Source organism: Homo sapiens, chromosome 15 (assembly GCF_000001405.40).
Source record: "Homo sapiens chromosome 15, GRCh38.p14 Primary Assembly".
Classification (NCBI taxonomy): Eukaryota; Metazoa; Chordata; class Mammalia; order Primates; family Hominidae; genus Homo; species Homo sapiens.
In genome coordinates, this window is record NC_000015.10 from 79,856,205 (window position 1) to 79,876,746 (window position 20,542).

The 20,542-nt window shown below is 39.0% G+C and overlaps 2 protein-coding genes across 4 annotated transcripts in view, besides 1 other annotated feature; both read right to left on the reverse strand.

The window, feature by feature from the left end:
• ST20-MTHFS (ST20-MTHFS readthrough) overlaps positions 1-20,542 on the reverse strand; it is a 79,546-nt gene that overhangs the window by 12,658 nt on the left and 46,346 nt on the right. The window lies entirely within an intron of this gene.
• Positions 1-20,542, reverse strand: part of MTHFS (methenyltetrahydrofolate synthetase) — a 53,739-nt gene that overhangs the window by 12,658 nt on the left and 20,539 nt on the right. The window lies entirely within an intron of this gene.
• Positions 18,043-18,337: a silencer, noted in NCBI's record as "tiled region #2833; HepG2 Repressive DNase matched - State 6:EnhF". NCBI's record gives its function as "represses a minimal TATA promoter and a strong SV40 promoter by Sharpr-MPRA in HepG2 cells {active_cell/tissue: HepG2}" and the evidence as "EXISTENCE:reporter gene assay evidence [ECO:0000049][PMID:27701403]".

Below are 20,542 nucleotides of genomic sequence, written 5' to 3' on the forward strand. Positions count from 1 at the left end.
CCATTCTGACTGGTATGAGATGGTAGCTCACTGTGGTTTTGACTTGTATTTCTCTTATGATGAAAAAATTTCAGCATTTTTTCATATGCTTCTTGGCCATGTATATGTCTTCTTTCGAAAAGTATCTGCACATGTCTTTGCCTACTTTTTTAATGTGTTTGTTTTCTTCTTGTAAATTTAAGTTATTTATAGATTCAATATCTCAGATCTCTTTAGAATCAAAGCTTAGTGACTCTGAGAATTTAAGGACAATACCTTGTTTATCTGTGTGATTCAATCAAGAAATAAATTAAGTCAGTCACACACACAAAAAAACAAACATTATATGATCCTAATTAAATGAAGTCTTGAAAGCAGTCAAACCCATAGAATCAGAAAGTAGAATGGTGGTTACCAGAGGCTGAAGAAAGGGGGGAAAGAAGAACTGTTTAATGGGTATAGATTTTCAGATATGCAATATGAAAAATTCTGGAGATCTGTTGCACAGCAATGTGAATATACTTAACACTCCTGAACTGTACCTTTAAAATGGTTAAGATGGTAAATTTTGTTATGTGTTTCCTTACCACAACAAAAAAAGAAAGAAAGAAAGAAAGAAATTAGGCATTTAGGGAAGAGTCTAGAGGGCAGTCCATCCTATGCTCACATTCATGTGAGGGTGTACTCAAGAAAAAAAAGTCTAGCTTACTCTTAAAAGCAGTGAAGAACAATTTCTTCAGATACAGAAATACAACGGTGTTTTGGAGCTATTTCTATTTTTCTCAGTTTTTAGAAGATGAGCTCGCAAAGTCACTTTTTTTTTTTTTTTGAGACAGAGTTTCGCTCTTGTTGCCCAGGCTGGAGTACAGTAGCACGATCTCGGCTCACTGCAACCTCCGCCTCCCGGGTTCAAGCCATTCTCCTGCCTCAGCCTCCCAAGTAGCTGGGATTACAGGCATGCACCACCACGCCCAGCTAATTTTTATATTTTTTTAGTAGAGATGGGGTTTCATCATGTTGGCCAGGCTGGTCTCGAACTCCTGATCCTCAGGTGATCCACTCACCTCGGCCTCCCAAAGTGCTGCGATTACAGGCATGAGCCACCGTGCCTGGCCCACTATTCTTAATTAATTATTGCACAGTATGATTTCCAAGCCTTAAGAGTTTAGTAAAATGGAAACTTCTTCCTGTCTTTCACCATTTTTTTACTGAACTGTTAAATGAGCACTTGAAAGTCCTGCAACCTCTCTGGTTCAGTATATTTAACTAAAATAAAATTACACAGTACATTATATTTCTTCAGCTTGCTCTCTTCTTGCATGCCTAAGAGGACTCATAGCCCAGCTAATATGAGCCTTGTGCCATCTAGAACAAATTCTATTACAGCAAGTCTATGATAAAGTAACCTATTACTTTGAAATAATAGTACATGGATTTTATATAATGTGCTTTTCCAGTTAGTTCCAAGTGCCTTTTCACTGCAACTAGCCTTGTTATCTGCTTCAATAAGTCCTCTTCTGGTGGGGGAGAAACTTGCTCTTAAAACCCAAAATCCGGCTGGGCACAGTGGCTCACGCCTGTAATCCCAGCACTTTGGGAGGCCAAGACAGATCACGAGGTCAGGAGTTCGAGACCAGTCTGACCAACACGGTGAAACCCCCGTCTCTACTAAAAATACAAAAATTAGCTGGGCATGGTGGCGCGTGCCTGTAATCCCAGTTACTCAAGAGGCTGAGACAGGAGAATTGCTTGAACCCAGGAGGCAGAGGTTGCAGTGGGCCAAGATTGCGCCACTGCACTCCAGCCTGGGTGACAGAGCGAGACTCCATCTCAAAAAAAAAAAAAAAAAAAACATAATCCTCTCTAAAACCTTCTAAAACAGCTTTACAGGAAAAGAGCAGAAAAAAGTTTGAATCAAAATTTAATGGATTCAAATCAATAGTCATTACTAATGACTCACTTTATGGAAGGCCCTGCCCAAGGAACTACAGATAACACAGAGATAAGTTACTATTCATGCCCTCTAGGACCTAACAACCTGGTCAGCTAAAAATGCATCTAATCAGTTGTCTGTAAAGAGATTATTAAATAATAGTAATAAGGGGTAGAATAATGTAAGTTCCAAGGTAATAGGTACAAAGGAAGGAAGTTGTATTCCCTTGAGAAGGGAGTTAAACACAGGAAAACCTCACTAGGGAGGTGGCCTATTGTATCAACCACGAAAGGATGAGTCTTTCAGAAAGGAAAAGTCTTTTGGAAACAAGAACACCTGGGTTTTAGCCCTCCTCTGTTTGTGTGACTTCGGACAAGTCATTTCCCACCTAGGCCTGTTCTCTTATCTACAAAATGAAAAACTGACTTAGATGATCTTCAAATCCCTTCCAATTCAGATAATCCCCTATGTGCCAATTAAATAACTAAAGGATACAGAAATTGGGAGACTGAAGACAAATCTGTCTCTGTGGACTAACAATAAATTTGTAAAACACTGACATCTGCTGGAAATTAAGAAAACTATTCAATCCATCTCATAAATAGCCTTTAAAAACCTAGTCTTGAATACTTTGTTTTGAAAACATGTTATCAAAGATGCAAGTTTCTTATGAAATTATATCTTCTAATATTTTATTTTATCAAACTTAAGAAAATTGTGAAGAAAATAACTTTAAAATTACTTCAGAAACGTCTGTTTCCATTTGGAAATTTGGGCCTATGCTCCTACGCTTTCCTATATGACAAAAATAACCAGCTTAACAACACAATGGACAAATTTCTATTTGTAAGAACAACAAATATAAACTGATCCGGAATACACTTAACAATATACTTAACAGGACCAGTGCAGTAACAACATGACTAGAAGCAAAAGCATTTACAAAGGAACACAGCAAAGTCCTGGAATAAATGGGGAGGCACACCATATTCCTGAAGAAGACTGAATATTGCACAGAAATCCATTTCCCCCAAATTAATCTACAAATTCAACACAATTCCAATCAAGCTCTCAAGGGGATTTTGGAAAAGAAACTAACAAAATTCTTTTACAGTTAATCTTAAAAAATAAATTTAGAATAGTCAGCTAAATTTTTCAAAGTAGAATAATGGGGCAGGACTCATCCCACCAGGTATTAAAATCCATTGAACAGCCATTATACATCTATATTCATCAAAATACTATGGCACTAGTGCCAAAATAGGCAGATTCCACAGATAGTTTGGAAAAGACAAAAACATCCAGATACACACCCAAACATATATAAGAATTTTGTTCATGAAAAGGTAGGGAAAGGGTAGATTACTCATTAAATGTGTTCGGACACCTGGCTAACATTTCTTTATAAAACATATTCTCAGCCAGGGGCAATGGCTCATGCCTGTAACCCCAGCACTTTGGGAGGCCGAGGCGGGCAGATCACCTGAGGTCAGAAGTTCGAGACCAGCTTGGCCAACATGGTGAAGGCCCGTCTCTTCTAAAAATACAAAAATTAGCCAGGCATAATGGCGGGAGCCTGTAATCCCAGCTACTCGGGAGATTGAGGCAGAAGAATTGCTTGAACCCAGGAGGCAGAGGTTGCAGTGAGCCAAGATTGTGCCACTGCACTCCAGGCTGGAAGACAGAGAGAGAATACATGTCAAAAAAAAAAAAAAAAAAAAACCCTTATTTTCTCTCCCTGTATACATAGGGATTCAAATAAAAATTCAAAAAGGATTAAGACTTTAATATTTAAAAACACAAAATACTAAGATAAAATGATGATGATTTATATAAACTCAAGTGAAGTAAGAACTCCTAAAAATAAAGCCAAAGGCAAAAATCCTAAAAGAAAACATTAATAAACTTTACTAATAACATTTTAAAACATCTGTATCCTCGCCCTCAAAATACAAAAAGTTAAGAAAAAGGTTTAAAAATGAATACAAATTGGCCAGGCGTGGTGGCTCACGCCTGTAATCCTAGCACTTTGGGAGGCCGAGGTGGGCAAATCACGAGGTCAGGAGATGGAGACCATCCTGGCTAACATGGTGAAACCCTGCCTCTACCAAAAATACAAAAAATTAGCCGGGTGTGGTGTCGGGTGCCTGTTGTCTCAGCTACTCGGGAGGCTGAGGCAGGAGAATGGCGTGAACCCAGGAGGCAGAGCTTGCAGTGAACAGAGATCGCACCACTGCACTCCAGCCTGGGCAACAGAGCGAGACTCCATCTCAAAAAAAAAAAAATGGATACAAATTATTTGCAGCATACATGACAGACTAATGGTTAATCTTTTAATATATAAAGAATTGTTACCAACCTGGAAAAAAATAAATGAATACCAAGAGAAAGATAAATTCCCGGAAAGAAATGGGGCAAAGAACAGCACTTTACAAAAGATGAATTAGAAAGGTTAAAAAACATTTTAGAAAGCTTAGTATATATTTTGAAATTTTCATAAGTAGTGTATTTTAACCATTATAACTTTTCAAAGAAGCAAGGAGAAATTAAAATTTAAGGATTTTTTTTTTGATTAGTACTTCAAAACAAAACCAGAAATACTGATAAGACAAAATTAAGTTACTTCCAAGGTTGAAAATTCACACAGATGCCCACAATGAATTTCTTCTGAGAATAACTTTTTCAATATATTAATGAGGTTTCCGGTTACAGTGTACTTTCTTGAGAGACTTATTAAAAGGGGTATGTTTCCTTCTGATACAACCTCATGGCAAACCACTATTCAAAGTTAAAGACTTAATTACAACTTCCCTTCTGAAGCCTTCTCATGCACTTTAGGCAAAGAGAAATCTCCATCTTGTGTTCCCAGAGCACTCTGGGCACATCCCAATGGGATCCTTAGCACCAGGACTGAAATCACTAGTTCATGTGGAATAGTCATCGTCGTCATCATCATCATCAAGCACTTATATGCACTGGCATTGTACTAAAAGCTTTATGTAAATTTCCTATTTAATCTTCAAAACAATCTAGTGAAGCAGATATTATTACCCTCATTTTCAAATGATCAGAGGCTTAGGTGAAGGGGTTTACTCATGTCCACTCAGCTAGTATGCAGCAGTCAGTAACTAGACTCAACTCCACCTAAGACCAAAACCTTGATCCTAACCACTCCTTATCCATCGTCCCCCTCCATACACCTGTCTTCCCCAACAAAATGTGAACTCCTATGGCCAGACACCACTGCCCCTTATTTATCTTTTTGTTTCCAGGGCATCACATGGAGGCTACCACACAACTGGTAGTCATTAATGCACGTTCATTTGTTATTTCGGCCATTCACTCACTCAGGGAGAGGTCAACATACTCTCATGTGTTGGTGATGAGTACGTAAAGTGGCATAACCTTTTTTAGTAAGCAATACAGAAACACCTATAAAAATTTAGAATTCATAGCCATTTCATGGATAGATGTTGATCCCATGGACTTACTTGCATAACTATGCAGAAAAATATCTATCAGGATGTTCTTTTTTATTTTTATTTGTAATACCTAAAAAACAGAAGCAACCCAAATAGCTATCAACAGAAGACTGGTTAAATAACTTAGAGCACATCAATGCTATGTAACCACTTAAAACACTATGCTAAATCTATATGTGTTGCTATGAAAAGAGTTCTATGGTTTATCAACAAGTGAAAAAGTAGGATGCAAAACAAAATGTGAACTCCGATCCTATCTGTATAAATTTTTTAAAAGGATACAAATATATATATCTAGAAGGATACACAAGTATGTTAACAGTGGTCACATCTGGGGAACAGGCTGGGAAGAAGAGGGGTGGGACTTTTTCTTTCATACCCTTCTAAACCATTTAAATTATTTACCATGTGATTAGTTAGATGGCATGTAATTACTTTTATGAATGAATGAATTGTTGCTCTACTGTTTGGCTTTTTTTTTTCCTTTTTGTTGTTTCTAACACCAACATAGACTAAGATGAAGTACAGTTAACTTGGGTTGGCCAAGACGGCTAACTGAATCAATCCTCTCATATCCCTGTTTTTCATTCAAAGACTATGTCCTTATCTCAAATATTTGGCAGCTTGCACATAAATATGCCTCCTTCCCACCCCCAAAAAACTAACTAACACACCCTATAAGTAACATCAACCTTTCCCTCAAATTTTATTTGTTAAACCTTCAAAGGGTACATGAGAGAGGCAAGTCTTACCTGGGGTCAGCCAATTAAATCTGCTTTTTATCTACGGTTTATCACTAACTGAACATACAGCTCAAAGTACAAAGTTAATTACTACTTTTGCAAGGAGAAACTGAAAATGCTGATGGGTGAGCAGCAGGACAATTCTTGTATTTCTAATGTCTTACTCTCATTGATCATATCAGCCCTCACAGAAGACTATCTTGCCTAAAGTTACCATTCCTCATTCCAGCATCCCTTTATCATTTTATCCTGTCCTTTCTACAGCAAAAAGAGGTATTAAAAAAACTATCTTTACCTGCAGTCTCTTAATTCTAGCAAATTAATATCCATTTCTATATATATGAAGATTCTGCTGTTTTCTCCTTTTAGCTAACCCCTTCCAAATTTATATTTATAGTTTCTCTCTACTTTTATAAATTATACTAGGCTACAAAATAGTTTCAAAAACATTTCACCTAGAAAACCTCATCTAGAAAGGCAAATTGATCTTGGTCCATCTACATTTGCCATGGCCTCATCACCTAGCCACTAAGATCCCTGTTTGTAATATCAGGGCACACCCCAAGACCATACTCTGGCAAGTCCTGAATCAATATCTCCTATGTCCTGACCTCCAGAGCTATATATCCAACTAGCCATCTACCAGCATTTCTGGGAGGTCCTGGAGCCACCTCAAACGGGATTCACTATGTGTCCCCCAACCCCCTACATCTCCTCTCTCTTCTGCATTCTTTGCCTAGGTTAAGAGCATGACATGCAGATGGCAAAGCCAGACTGTCCCTCAACAGCCTCAAGTGGCCTGGAGACTCTACATGCTGCATATGTCAGAACTTGTTCTATCCTCTCCATTTCTAAAAGTGGTCATCATTTCTCATCCATTCGAATCCATCAGATTCCCAAGGGATGGTCCACTCCCAGTTTCTTTGGCTGTCCCTTGGGACAGCCTGTCCTCCTTATTTCTGGCAGAACAACCTTTCCCAAACATAGAACTAGTCATGTTACTCCTATGATTAAAGTCTTTCAATAACTAACTCCCAGCACCTACAAAATAAAGTTCAAATCCCAGATGTGTGACATACAATACCCTTCACAACGTGGGCCTCCAGCCTCAGCTCAGGCCATGACACCAACTGAAATCACAACCTGCCTTGAGCTGAATGCAGCAGAGGCTGCTGGTTGCCCATCTGGACATCATTCTCTCTTTCTCCTTAGTAGCAGAAAACTTTACTCAGGAGGCCATGAATCCCACCGCAACACCACATTTCTCACCTTCCCTGGTAGTTATGTATGACCTTGTGCCTAAGTTCTGACAAATGGGACTTTCAAGGTGAAGGATGCTCTTTTTCTCCCAACACCCTCTCTTTCCTCCTGCTGACTACAATTCAGAGTTGATAGCCGAAGCTTGAGATACCAGGCAGGACCATATGGCATATGCGGCAGGATCTGTCCCTAATGACTGTGGGGCCTGTACAACAGCCACAGACTATAAATACAACTCCCAGACTTCTTTTCCAAGCATCTCACTGATATTTTGAAGTTTTCACTGATACTTTGGAGTTTTCTGCTACATGCAGCCGAATCTGATTCTAACTGATAACCTGAGCATGCCCTCCTTTTACTCGCCTCCACAGCACATGACGGCAGTAAGGAAAGGCACCGTGTGCCATCCCACAAACAGCATGCCTTCGGGGAAAGCAGACCTGGCAGGAAGACCTGGCTCTGCCTTTTGACTGTGGCATGCCCATAAATAATGCTCTGAGACTTACTTTCTGCAACTGTGAAAATGAGATAATAACATAGTCATGATGAGTAATAAGCTTACATATGTAAGAGCACTTAGCATAAGGCTTAGCACTTAGTAGACAAAGGGTAGCTACTAATAATTTACCCATGTCACTGTCTCTGTACAAAAAGTCCTTGGGGCCAGGTACGGTGGCTCACACCTGTAATCCCAGCACTCTGGGAGGCTGAGGTGGGCGAAATACCAGAGGTCAGGAATTTGAGACCAGCCTGGCCAACATGGTGAAACCCCATATCTACTAAAAATACAAAAATTAGCCAAGTGTGGTGGTACGCGCCCATAGTCCCAGCTACTCAGGAGGCTGAGGCAGGAGAATCGCTTGAACCCGGGAGGTGGAGGGTGCATTAAGCCTAGATTGCGCCACTGCACTCCAGCTTGGGCAACAAAGTGAGACTCCATCTCAACAAAAAAAAAAAAAAAAAAAAAAAAAAAAAAAAAGTCCTTGAGAGTAAATGTCCAGAAACTGAGCTTTCATAGACCTGTACACGCTTTCTGGTGCTTACTTCAATATAGTGTAAGAAACTTGACTCATAAGCAGGGTCCAGGCTTATGACAAGTTAGTACCCCCTTGCTTGGCACAGTGTCACACACAGTAGGACTCTCAGAATATTTGTTACACAAGTGAGTGAACAAATACAACACTTTAGAAAGGAAAAGAAAAAGGCAGAGTGGACATAATTGATCACTGGGCTCAGCTCCTGATTTTCATTTGCCTAATTCTGATTTCTTTTTGGCCTTAGGCAGATGGAATAGAGAATATTTTTATGGCTGGCATTTGCAGTTTTTTAAACAACAAAAACTGTTTTTTAAAAAGTCAAAAAGAAAAACACCCCAAAAAAATAAACGTTCACTCCAGGCAAACTTCCAAATATTGTGATGTGTTTTCTCTTTGTTTCAGGGGAGAGGTTCACAATGAAACAAAATATTACAGCAACCTTTTGCAGATTCAAAAGGTTAAATTCAAAATGTTATCAATAATGTAACTCCCACTGTTTTTACAAAGAAAACCTTGATCCATAAAGATACACAATTTCTATTACAAGAAAACGAAGTGGAAATGTACCTGAACTTGTAAAACTGTCATTATTTAAATATAAGTCTTAAAATTCAAGATAAAGACCTTAGCACAAATATTTGACTTTCTACTTTCATTTCCAGTGAAATGAACAAAGGAAAACAAACTTGGGAAAAATGTCTATTATGATTAGAAACCAGGAAAGAATGCCATATCTAAGTCGGAAACTTCGAGGTATTTCTGCAAGATATAATTTAGGAAAAAGGGAATTTGATAATGAAATACATGTTAAAGAAATGGCTGCCTTGGGAAGAGCCGGAAGGAAACCAGTGTGGAACTGCAGTCAAGCCCCCAGCCAGGAGGAGCAGGTATACGTATCGTAACGATGGGTCTCTGGGCAGCAAGTTGCTAAAAAGCAAATCTTGACCCTTCTTGGGCCTCAGACACCTAGTGCAAAGCTGATTTAACGAGGAAGACCACCTCAGCCCTCATCCCTGCTTACCCTCAGCAGTGTGCTAGGCAAAATGTGGGTATGGCCATGAATCCTAACAAAGGCTCCATGTTTGGATCTTCTGCCCCTGCAAATACTGGGCTATGCTGACAAAAACCAACCATGGAGAAAATAAATCCTTCATACAGTGGCAAAGCTCCCTCCGGCAGGTGCCTACAATAATCGCTTATTCCCTTCTCCCCTCAGTTTACTGCATCTTTCTCAAGCAAAACAAAATGTAGCAAATTTAAACTATTCCCTTCTTTCTTCATCTGGGCCTGAACACCAACCACACAATCTCTAACAGAGCCCATCAGAACTACCAATAGCAGGCAAACCTAAACCTCTTTAAGGTGAGGGAAGAGAGAAAACAGTCACTGCAGTTTGAAATTTTATAAGTTTTTTTTTTTTTTTAAGGAGGAGGAACAGGAGCAGCTTTTTGTTTTTTTTTGGTCTCTGTGACAGCGATGGTGGCATTCGAGAGGCTAATGGCTAAGAACAAATCCAGCAGCAGGAATATGTCCAGTTCTCATGAATAAAAGGATCTGTGTTTTTTCCCTCAGAGGACCTGATCATGGGTCCAGAAGATAACTATTTGAGTTCAACGGTTTCCTTCTTTCCTAAGTTTTCCCCTTGATTTTCTCTTATGTCTTCCAAATATTTACCTGTACATTATTTGGTGAAAACAGTTACCTGATGGAAGAGTTTGAATCTATACTTCCCAGAAGTAACCCAAAGGCATTTGAAAACAGCAGTGAGAAAGAGTGTCCTGGATAAAGCATAATGAAAAACATCTTGTTGAGAGTTAGGATCTGGGCACAACCCCCAAATAAAAAGGGAGCTGATGTGGATGCTTCTACAATACAGTAGGATGACAGCCAAGCAGACAGTAGGTGTGCAGGATCTCTTCAGCAGGCGAGACCCTGGGACTGCCTCCTATTCAGTGCACGTGCATACACAGAACACGAGGGCAAACACACGACCTTCCAAAACATTTTTTTCTTAAGAACTGCTAGTGATTGGCCAGGCACGGTGGCTCACACCTGTAATCCCAGCACTTTGGGAGGCCAAGGTGGGTGGATCACCTGAGGTCAGGAGTTCCAGACCAGACCGACCAACATGAAGAAACCCCACCTCTACCAAAAACACAAAAAAGTTAGCTGGGCATGGTGGTGGCAGGCACCTGTAGTCCCAGTTAGTTGGGAGGCTGAGACAGGAGAATCGCTTGAATCCGGGAGGCAGAGGCTGCAGTGAGCTGAGATCGTGCCATTGCACTCCAGCCTGGGCATGCCACTGCACTCCAGCCTGGACAGCAGAGTGAGACTCTGTCTCAAAAAGAAAAGAAAAAAAAAAAGTACTCTTTTAGTGCCAAAAAAGCAAATCTGCAAAACCACATACACCAACAATTTATCTTACTTCCCATTTTCCCCCATTCTCCAGCCTCCCCTAACTCACCACTCCTATGAACTATAGTTTCTACAGGATAAAAATAGCCTAATACATCTTTTAAACATTCCTATCCAAACTGGTTCAGGTATATTGTCAGAGCTATCATCACTATCTTTCTCAACTCAATGGGAACTTGAAAGTTAGCAAATTATATAAATGAAGAACAATTCTTGGTTGATTATCACCATCAATTAACTGTTGAGGTGATTTTAGAAAGCCAAACTCTCAGTGGAGTAAAATCAATATGCTCTTTCTAAGGAAATAAGATTACGTAGCAAAAAAAAAAAAAAGGGGGGGACATTGAAGTTTTCTTTAGGCCTCTGTATGTATATTACCATATGTCACATATGACAAATTTATCTCATTTTCACTCATTACTAAGTAGATATTTTTCTGTAATCCAGCTAAATCTTTATTCTCTTGTAGCTTGTTATAACTATCAAATTCTGAAATATTTCCAAACATTTTTAAACGTAGATAAATGAAAAAATAGAAAAAAATGTAATGATGGTCATAAAAAAAAAAAACCAACAGAAGTTTTCCAAACACATTTCTTAACAATGCCTTAGTCACCAGTAAATTACTAGAGCTAGTATATGTGGGACATAAATTTCTAATTAATGTACTAAGATAATGTTTTAGAGAAAGTTTCTATCAGGAATCTAAAAATGACAATTTTCTAAATATAAAGATGAAGAATCAGCACTAAAAATCTAAAGTTCTTTTTTAAATCTTCAACTTGGAAGAGTATCTCCAGTCAATACAGAGACCTACAATCTACTGGGATCATAGAAGAATGCACACTGTAGCTTTGAGTGGAGTGTGTGTGTGAGAGAGAGAGAGCACGAGCGAGAGAATGAGAGAGATCACACACGTGAGAGTGAGCCCAGCAATCCAACGTTGGTATAGACCATGCTAGCATTTTTTATTTTTTATTTTGAGCGAGGTCTGAATTTTCTCTAAATATTTTGCAGTCTGTAGCACAGTGCTAGGAGACAGTAAAAGTAACAGCCAAGGTGTTGCATGCAAAATCAAGTATCTAGCTTGTTTTAAGCAGACTAAACTTAAGTAGGAATTTCCAATGAATAAAGCAGATTAGGGAGAAGCACAAAATATGTAATAGCTTTTATTTTATATCACCTTTTTCTTTCCAATTTCAATGTAGCATTCAATATACAATAGTGAATTTTCTGCAACTTCGAATATAATTTCATGATGTTGAGAATGAGTCATTATTGAAAGAGCTCTGTATCAGGTTTCTGTGTGGAGCAGATTATTTCCTCATAGAAGATAATCTTCTTAGATTCAAAGAGAAATATAGCACGTACTATGAAGGGTTTGGGGAAAGGAGAGGTATTTCTTGGTGTGATGGTTAATTTTATGCATCAACTTAATTGGGCCAACAGGTGCCCAGACCAAATATTATTTCTATGTGTGTCTATGAGAGTGTTTTAGGATGAGATTAACAATTGAATGAGTGGACTCAGTAAAGTGGACAGCCCATCTCAATGCAGGTGGCCTGAATAGAATAAAAGGCAGAAGAAGGAATTTGTCCCTTCTTTCTTGCCTAACTGCATGAGCTAGGCCATCTCATCACATTTCCTGCACAAGGACTAGAATTTACACCATAGGCTCCCCTGGTTCTCAGTCCTTCGGACTTTGAGTAAACACCACTACCTTTCCTGGGTCTCTAGCTTACAGACAGCAGACTTTGAGACTTCTAGGCCTCCACAATCACATGAGCAAATTCATTATAATAAAGCTCCTAAAAGTATAGATATAGATGTAAATATAGATGTACACGCACACACACAAACATAAAACTTATTGGTTCTGAGAACTCTGACTATACACTAGGTGCATTTTTTTTTAATGTAAACCTTTTCATGAAAAATGAAAAAACGGTGAGTGTTGGTAGCTTATTTGATAATACATACAGTACTTTGGGGTACTGTGACTACATCAGGTCATAAGGAATAAAAGTAAGTATGTATTTATGCCACCAGCATTTAATAAAATATACAAAAGGAACGAAAGCAGACTCTTGGCAAATGAAGTATTTTTAGTCATTGTACTTACTTAAAGAGAAAACAACTCCACAAGTATCCTTACTTTGTTGTGGTATTTAATTACTATTTTAAAAGTTAAATTCTATATCTCTCACAATAAAGATGGGGAGAAGGACCAGTCTGAAGAATCAGTGCAAATATTTCCCATTAAAATAGACATATTTCAGGACAAAGCTTTTAACAATGATATTTGAGAATATGCTGCATCTATAATATAAAATTAGAAAACACAGTCATACAAAAGAATAATCTGAGATTTGTAACAATTGCTTAGAGGTTTTTGTTTTATTTTTTTGAGACACAGTCTTGCTCTGTTGCCCAGGTGGGAGTGCAAGCATAGCTCTCTGCAACCTAGACCTCCTGGGCTCAGGCAATCCTCTCACCTCAGCCTCCCAAGCAGCTAAGACTACAGTTGTATGCCAACACAGCCAGCTAATTTTAAATATTTTGTAGAGATGGGGTCTCATTACGTTTCCCAGGCTAGTCTTAAATTCCTGGGCTCAAATGATCCTCCCACCTCGGCCTCCAAAAGTGCTGGGATAACAGGCATGAGCCACCATGCCTGGCTCACTTAACAGATTTTTTTAAAAGATTAATAATTTTAAAATGTTAATGATGGCAAAGGAATAACAGGATAGACAGAAGAAGAACCCAAATCAATAAAATAGACAAGATAGGGAACTTCGGTTATAAACCCAAATGATTTTGAAAGTGATGGGGATAAAAAGATGAGAGAAATATATTACAGATCCAGAAGAACCAAAGTAACTATAATAATAATTTCAAAAACAGAGGAAAGAAGGGATTATCAAAAAAGATAGTTGAAAATAGTTCCCTGGAGTTAAAAAGGACATGAAACTTTAGGATGAAAGAGATGACTAAATACCAATTAATTCACAAAATTAATGAATATTAAATTTGGAAATCAAAAATAACAAAAATTCCTAAAAGAAGTCAAGCAATGAAAAAACAAGTTTCTTACAAAGGAAAACATGAATGACATCAGACCTCACCTACAATACTAATCACCACAAGACAACAGACTAGTTGTCTAGAACACAGGTCACAAACTATAGCCCTAAGACTAAATCTGGTCTGTTGCCTGTTTTTGTAAATAGAGTTGTATTGGAACACTGTCTGTTTTGGTACCGTCTATGGTTTCTTTCATATTGCAGTGGCACAATCGAGCTGCTGTCAAAGATTCCATGGCCTGAAAAGCCTAAAATATTTACTATCTAGCACTTGACAGAAAATAATTGCCAAATCCTGGGCTAGAATTCTGGGTGGACAAAAGAAACAAAAACAAAAAACTGTGACCCTAGAATTCTATCCTATTCAAGAATTCACTGATGTGTACAAAGACAGCCTCAAAAATAAAAGCATTCTGAAAACATACCACTCACGGACCATGCTGAAAAAAACTACTTAAAGGAATATTCCATCTGACCAAGAAATTCATCAAAATACATAAATCAAGAATAAAGAAGATATGCTATAACAGTAGGAACAAGGAATCATGAACCCAGGAAAATTTACAGTTCAGTTTAAATGACTCTTCTCTATACTCTATAATATAGTAAGAAAATAATCGAATGTCAATGAAAAAAATTCTTTAAAGAATATACACATCTTTAAACTACTATTAATTTTAAACACCAGTTTATGTTGACAAAAGCTAGAAAGAAAAAGCACATTGGCCGGGCGTGGTGGCTCATGCTTGTATTCCCAGCACTTTGGGAGGCCAAAGCAGGCAGATCACCTGAACTGAGGAGGTCGAGACCAGCCTGGTCAACATGGTGAAAGCTGTCTCTACTAAAAATACAAAAAATTAGCTGGGCGTGGTGGCACATGACTGTAATCCCAGCTACTGGGGAGGCTGAAGCAGGAGAATTACTTGAACCTGGGAGGTGGAAGTTGCAGTGAGCCAAGATTGCTCCATTCGACTCCAGCCTAGGCAACAGAGTGAGACTCTGTCTCAAAAAAAAAGAAAAGAAAAGGCACATTTAATTTCTTGTCTTTCACAGGGGTAAGGTCAATAAATACTATATTTATAATGCTAGTGAGAATTTGAGGCTAAAAATATTTTAATGTAACCAATAGTAGAAATGAATGCATAATTATGAAGTACTAGAGGGAAAAAAGGACACAAAGAAAAGGAAATGACAAAAAAAATTGTCTCCCAAAAACATGATGACAAAGGTAACAGAAAGAAGGCCAGACACATGCATTATTCCCAAAAAAAGAGGACAGACTGAACAGCCTAACTAAAAGACTACCAGTTGGGTACAAATATCAAAAATTCAATCATAAGCTATTTACAGAGGGATGCCCCACAGAAAATTGATGAGGGGAGAATTCAAGACAAAGGGATTTTTTTTTTTTTTAGTGTTCAATTTCCACTTTATCTTCTTTCATTACCTCTTTTATAATTAACGATTCATTTGCAGTTTTGCTGAATAAAAAAATTATACAAATATTCTCAGACAAAAAAAATTAATGCCAAACTTAAAGGTGATTACTAGAAAAATAGTACTTTTAAGTACTACCAAGGAAACTCTGTATAATGTTTGAAGTGACAATTTGAAATGCTTAAACAAAAAGAAAAGAAGAAAATTAAATGCTGACTTCAAATGCTATTAAAATTAAAATTTTTTACATAGGCCGGGCACGGTGGCTAATGCCTGTAATCTCAGCACTTTGGGAGGCCGAGGCATGGATCACGAGGTCGGGAGATTGAAACCATCCTGGCCAACATGGTGAAACCCCATCTCTACCGAAAAAATACAAAAATTAGCCGGGCATGGTGGTGGCCACCTGTAATCCCAGCTACTAGGGGTGCTGAGGCAGGAGAATCGCTTGAACCCAGGAGGTGGAGGTTGCACTGAGCTGAGATAACACCACTGCACTCCAGCCTGGCGACAGAGCAAGACTCCGTCTCAAAAAAAAAAAAAAAAAAAAAAAAATTTAAGTATAGCTACTTTATTTCATTTTAATAGAATACACGAGGCCCAAACAGAAATCCTGCAGTTCAATCAAAATAAGTCTTCAAACTAATGAAGCTTTTTTATGCTATACTCTTTACAGAGATCATTAAGCACACTACAATGAAGAAATCCCATTTTCTCTGATCTAATTCTGTAACATTACCAGGTAACACTGTGGAGCCCTATGACCTTCTGGTCTTGTAGGGCTCAGGGATCATGGGTGTTTAAATAGGGAAATGTCATGTGAGTGATGCAGGACAGGTGAGCCCCAAAACTGGGGTTATGCCCAGGAGGGTTTTTGGCTTTGCCGGGAAAGAATTCAGGAGTGAGCCTTTGACTGAACAGTACTGCTCCTTGCAGAGTAGGGCTAGCGCTCAGGCAGTAGCCCAGAGTCAGCAAGGCAGGGGCTCCTGGCAACTGTATTTAACATTCAGGTAAACCCACATTTGGCTATATGTAAATTAAGGGGCAGGTCAATGCAAATTGAGGTTATTTAGAACTTTCTACAAAAGGATCGTAATTTCCAGGTTGTTGCCATGGAAAGGGGTAGTAACTTCCAGGTCATTGCCATGGCATTTGTAAATCGTCATGGTGCTGGTAGGAGTTTCTTATGCCAATGAGCAATGACAGCAGCCAGGGATCACTTTTGTCATCGTCTGCTGGTTTCTGCCGGTTTCTCCATTTTATCCTGTCTGGACCACATCCTGTTTTGGTCAGCAGTGTCGTGACCAAAAAGCAAGTCCTGCTGGTCTGTTACCTCATGAGAAAGGATGCCTTTTCACCATAGGGCTGTGCACTTCTGAAAGACCTTAGAGGCCCAGCCTAGCTGACCATTAGGGAGACCACAGGGCTTGCAAGTAGGACGCAGTCAACACCACAGGGCACTCAGTAAAACCTCCAGGAAACAGAGTGAGAACAGCAAAAGAGGAAGCTCAGGGCTTCAGGACCCTTCACCTTTCAGTCCCCATCCTTCTTTCTGTATCCCTATCTCAATCCCATTGTGACGCCTCCTGGTGCCAGGCTCCAGCTATAGATATATGATGTAGTGGTTTAGGGCTGGGGTCTTAACAGCCAAAGGGACCTGGGTCTTAATATTATTTCTGCCACTCATGAGTTGTGTGACCATCGATAAGGTACTTCATCTGAGCCTTTTTTCTGATCTATAAAATAGAGGAGCAGGATATTAATAGCACCCATGCCTCTGCAGGGTATGGAAAGAATCAAATGAAGCAATGCAAAATAATTGCTTAGCACAGTTTCTGGCAGGTAGTAAGTACTCAAGAAATTTGGACTGTTATTACATTATGCATCTCTCCCACATACCACATCCCTGAAAAATCAGAAATTTCCTCTCCTGAACATTCCCTTTTGCAATGATGGTAAGAAATCAGTGAAAATCCTCTCTGAAAAAAAAAATACTGTATATCAAACAAAATCATCCAAAGCCAGCCATTTCAGGGATTTGGAAGCTGACCAAAGACTGAGTAGGAACAGCAGAAGTCTCTGGTCCTCTTACCTGGTGAGGTTCCCAGGCCCCCAGCTCAGTCCTCAAGAATGGCAGTTTTACCAATATGGGGCTGGCTGGAAAAAACAGCAGCTCTGCTGCCAGAAGGGGCAGACTTAACTTGTGGTAGGGGGCTTTGTGAGCTAAACATAGGAATATTACAGGAAAAATTACAGCTTTACTTGCCAAGGTTGTAATCCCAGTTGGTGTAAGAGCATAATGGGAATGTAATGTGGCTATACTAAAATAAGAGGTCCATAGAAGGGCTGAGATAAACTCTTCCTACATACCTGGCTGACTAGAAACTATAGGGATATGCAGGGAAGATCTGAGAGAGCTTGGCAGAGAGTAACAGCCAAGGACAACTAGAGAAGTGCTAAAACTTGAATGCACTCTGCAACTCACAGACAGATCAATCAGTGGAGCTTCATGCATTCCAGTGTTTGAAAACAACTACTATCTAAATCACTGGCTCAGAATCACTTCTAGAATGGCAGAGTAGAAAACTAAAAATCTGCTCCTTAATAAAACCAGCAAGAACATTGGGAAAAATGGTCAAAATCAACTTTTCAAAACTCTAGAAATTAGTCAAAGGCTTACACCAATCTAAATGTTTATTCTCTGTAAGAACAGTGAGCTTTGTGCCTTTTCAACTTGCCCCATTCCCATCCCCCTCTCCCCAGCTTCATGGTAGACTTGAAAATCAACAGCCTTACAACTAAAATAGCTGTGACAACCACCAACAGCCTGGCAGCCAATGGAGGGGCAGAACAGGTTTGGAGCTCAACAAAAGCTCCATCCCAGAAAACTGTCACTAATTAATTTGTCTGGCAGTTCCCTGAAAAGGTGCATTGTCAGGTCTTATCTTTACTTGATCTGACTCATAGCTCTCTCCATGCAAAAAGCCCTAGCCCTAGGACATTTATTTTAAAAATCAATGGCAATTGTTTAATATCACAGCTGTCTGGGGCAGGAATCCAGTTAGTGCTAACAAGAGGCTGACCAAAAAACTTAAAAGGAAAAACTGGGGAAGAAGATGTCCTGAGGAGCCTTTGAAAAGCTCCGACATATTCCAGGGAATCTAGAAGGCTATCTCAGGGCTGTTCCTTGCTGAAAAAAAGAATTCAGCGATATTTCTCCTATTCGCTTTTGTAAGAGGAGAAATATGGCTCTGTTCTGCCCGGCTCTCAGGCAGTCAGACCTGATGGTTATCTCCCTTGTTCCCTGAACATCGCTGTTATCCTGTTCTTTTTTCAAGGTGCCCAGATTTCATATTGTTTAAACACACATGCTTTACGAACAATTTGTGCAGTTAACGCAATCATCACAGGGTCCTGAGGCGACACACATCCCCAGCTTACAAAGATGATGGGATTAAGAGATTAAAATAAAGACAGGCATAGGAAATCACAAGAGTATTGATTGGGGAAGTGACAAATGTCCATGAAATCTTCACAGTTTATGTTCAGAGACTGCAGTAAAGACAGGTGTAAGAAATTATAAAAGTATTAATTTCGAGAACTAATAAATGTCCATGAAATCTTCACAATTTATGTTCTTCTGCCATGGCTTCAGCCGGTCCCTCCGTTCAGGGTCCCTGACTTCCCGCAACAAAAGCGACAAAAAAAAAAAAAAATCACTAGAGATCCTCAGATCCTCATAAGATTAACAGCTGAATTGTCAATGGCAACCTGGAGGCCAGAAGGCAGTGAAAATAACACATTCAAAGTGCTGAATGAAAAACACTGCCAGCCAAGAATTCTATCTCCAGCAAAGCTGTCCTTCAAAAACAGAGAAGACACAATGCCAAGACAATGCAATACGGAAAGAATCATCTTTTTAAAGACAGTGCTGGGACAACCAAATATCCATATACAAAAGAATAAGTTGGCCCCAACTTATACCATTTACAACAATTCACTCAAAATACATCAAAGACCTAAATGTAAGAGCTAAAACAATAAAACTCTTAGAAAAAAACGGAGGCATAAATCTTCATGACCTTGGATTAGGCAATGGTTTCTTAGCTATGATACCAAAAGCACAAGTAGCAAAAAATTATTACATAGGACTCCATCAAAATCAAAAACTTTGCTTCAAAGTTCACCATCAAGAGAGTGAAAAAACACAATGGGAGAAATATTTGCAAATCACATATCTGACAAGGAACTTATTATCCAGAACACATAAAAAACTTAGATAACACAACAGTAAAAAGGCAATGTAATTAAAATTGGGCAAAAGATTTGAATATTTGAAGAAACAATCATTGGCTCACCACTAAGCTATATGGACATAGGAGCAGCACCTAGGAAGCCAGGCCAAAAAATAAATAAGCACACAAAAATTGAGCAGAGATATCTATAGACACATATCATAGGGAGATATGTGCTAACTGGCTAAGAGCAAGCTAGTTACCAAAAAACAAACAAACACTTCAAAAAGTAAATCAGAATCCAGAGATACTACAAGATATTATCAAAAAGATTTCAACAACAAAAAAAATATAGGATATGCAAAGAAACAAGAAAGTGACCTATAATCAAGGTGGGGGAAATCAGTCAAGGAAAATGAAGTCTAAGTGGGCCAAGATATTCAATTTAGCAAAGACATCAAAGCAGCCATTATGAATATGAGCCAAGAATTAAAGAAAATTCTGTTCAAAAAAACTAAAGTAGGCCAGGCGCAATGGCTCATGCCTGTAATCCCAGCACTTTGGGAGGCCGAGGTGGGCAGATCACAAGGTCAGGAGATCGAGACCATCCTGGCTAACATGGTGAAACCCGGTCTCCACTAAAAATACAAAAAAAAATTAGCCGGGCGTGGTGGCAGGCACCTGTAGTCCCAGCTACTCAGGAGGCTGAGGCAGGAGAATGGTGTAAACCCAGAAGGCAGAGCTTGCAGTGAGCCAAGATCATGCCACTGCACTCCAGCCTAGGTGACAGTGTGAGACTCCATCCCAAAAAAAAAAAAAAAAAAGTAAAGGAAACAAATGTTCCTAGAATTAAATGAATATATGACACCAATGACTCAACAAATAAAGAATATCAATGAAGAAACTGAAACTTTCAATAAGTATCAAACTCTACAGTT